The sequence below is a fragment of the Homo sapiens genome, chromosome 1, assembly GCF_000001405.40.
Source record: "Homo sapiens chromosome 1, GRCh38.p14 Primary Assembly".
NCBI classification, from domain to species: Eukaryota; Metazoa; Chordata; class Mammalia; order Primates; family Hominidae; genus Homo; species Homo sapiens.
Window position 1 is genome coordinate 79,715,537 of NC_000001.11, and position 2,376 is coordinate 79,717,912.

The 2,376-nt window shown below is 29.2% G+C and overlaps 1 annotated feature.

Moving 5' to 3' along the window:
• Positions 968 to 1,262: a silencer, noted in NCBI's record as "tiled region #7267; HepG2 Repressive non-DNase unmatched - State 24:Quies, and K562 Repressive non-DNase unmatched - State 24:Quies". NCBI's record gives its function as "represses a minimal TATA promoter and a strong SV40 promoter by Sharpr-MPRA in HepG2 and K562 cells {active_cell/tissue: HepG2 | K562}" and the evidence as "EXISTENCE:reporter gene assay evidence [ECO:0000049][PMID:27701403]".

The following is a 2,376-nucleotide window of genomic DNA, read 5'->3' on the forward strand; positions in this document are numbered from 1 at the left end:
ATCTTATTTACTACCATTTCCTTAGCAGCATTTCTAGGATAACTCAACCTATTTCAAATTTATTTAACTTTATGTTACATGAGAATACTATTAAAATATTTTCAAATGCTTTCCTTAAATTCATATTATATCCCTTTCATCTCTGAAAAGGAGAAAGTAAAGTTAGTGTAACATGACTTGTGAGTAAATATTGTTTTAAAAAATCAATTTAGAATCAACTATATAAACACTAAAATTATGCTTCTTTAGAAAAAGTTATCCAGCAACAGAATGAACAATTGAGTCAGATAAAATAGCATTTATCAACTGTGTATTATGATAAAGTGTATCTACTCATTGCTGTAGAAAAGGCAAAGATTACGAAAAAATCTTGTTTCTTCAAAGAATTAAAATTTATTTTATGAATTCATTGAAGTAGGGGTACAAAGAATAAAATGACATCGACAACTACAAAATTAAACACAATCAGGTAATGTCATTTTATCCAGCTACCATTTGGAACTGATTTTTAAGAGACATTTTGTCAAATGCATTATATTGGAATCCACAAGTTTTGCATGAACTTTTTGTGTGTGTGTGTGTGGACAAGGAAGTATCTTTCCCTTCGTGGGGGTTGGAGAGAGGCACAAGTCAACTAACTAAAAGGGTCCACCTTGAATTAGCAAAACAAATACTAGGAATTCAGAACTTCTAAACTAACAGCAGAGCAGTTCTTTCCAAAAGCTAATTTGAGACATTTTTTTTGAGAGAGAGGCTGTCTTTTGGATAGGTTGATTACCTCTTCCTCCAGATTGTCTAAAGCTCTGTCTGTTTTAAATTGGGTATTTAGGAATGATATATTTGGATTTCATTATCTCAGCAACCCATAGAAAGGATTCCACTGAATTTCTTTTAATGTTAAAATTGAACCTTTTATAGTTGAACAATGTCCATGTTTTTCATAAGATTGTGTGAAGGCATCATCCATCCATTATGTTCTTCAATGTTTTTAACATAAGAAACCACATGTTAAAGTCTCCATTCAGTTTTGAGCCAAGAAAATGTTTGTGTATGCAGGCAACCTTGGGAGAAACACATTTTTCCTTTTTGCCTTGGCTGCCAAGATGAACACACATAAATTTGGTGTTTATCTGCAGTGATTGACTCATCACAGGTGCCTGGTAACAGCAATTCTTCTGTTCCCTTAAAGTGCTTTTGTTCTTGGCAGGCCCTGGAAGGAATGTTTAACAGAGTTGCTTTGTACTGTGTTGAAACTGATTCAAATTCTTTTAAAAAACAACAAAACAGAAAGCACTAAATATAAATAGTAAATAATCAAATAAACATAATAATTACATAATCCTGATCACCAGCGAATAATGCATTATCAGTAAAGGCTAACCTTAAGTTTTATAAAATGAAGGCAGTTACTTCATTTTATATTTTCTTTTCATTATGACAGAAAAAAAATTCACGTGAGTTAGTGTCCTGAATTTTTTCTTTAAGAAAAATATTGATTCATTTAAATTTTTTACATATCTATTCATCGATTCAAAAGTACATTTCAAGCATTTATCATGTATTAGTATAGCAGACATTGCTTAAAATAGGAAAAGTGGTATCAAATCTAAGAGATTAAAGAAATAAAAAAATAATTTGGGTGGGAATTATTACACATCACTTCTTCACCAAATAGACCAAAATTTCTCAGAAAAAAAATTGTGACTCAAACAGTAGACTGGACAATAATATATTATTATAGTAATGGCTAGAAAGTAAATATGTAAAATTTAGGAGGTTAATATACATAACTACATTCTTATGAAATAGTAACTGTATTGTGTCAGGCATGGATATTTCTGCAGAACTGTGGGGCTTTCACTACCTATCACTAATGAGAAGGATTTTTAGATCCTTATAAAATTTTTTTTTACATTGCAAAATCTAGCGGAATCTTGATCATTTTTAAATAACTTGATAATCAATAAAATTTATCACAAAATAAGCAAATTTAAAAACATTAAAAATAATTATTGGAGTACTGTGTTGACATAAAAACATCAGATAATATTTAATTATTGGTTATGATTTTTTAAAAAAGTATTAATATAGACAATAAGGTGACATTTTGACATTTTTTACTTGGCTTTTTGTTTGCTTACCTGTTTTGGAATAACAGCATAGTGTGATAAACCAGATTAATAAGTGACTTTCTGGTCTTTCTTCAAGTAGTAAAATAATAGAAACATTTTCTTAATATCTTATTCTTATATGAATGGATATGCAAATTGAGTAATCTTGTGAATTCATATATCAATAAAGACTATATATGCCTTGTTTATTGAAGTAAAAACAAAGATTAAGGAATTATAGCTCTGATCATTTTAAGAGAAAGAA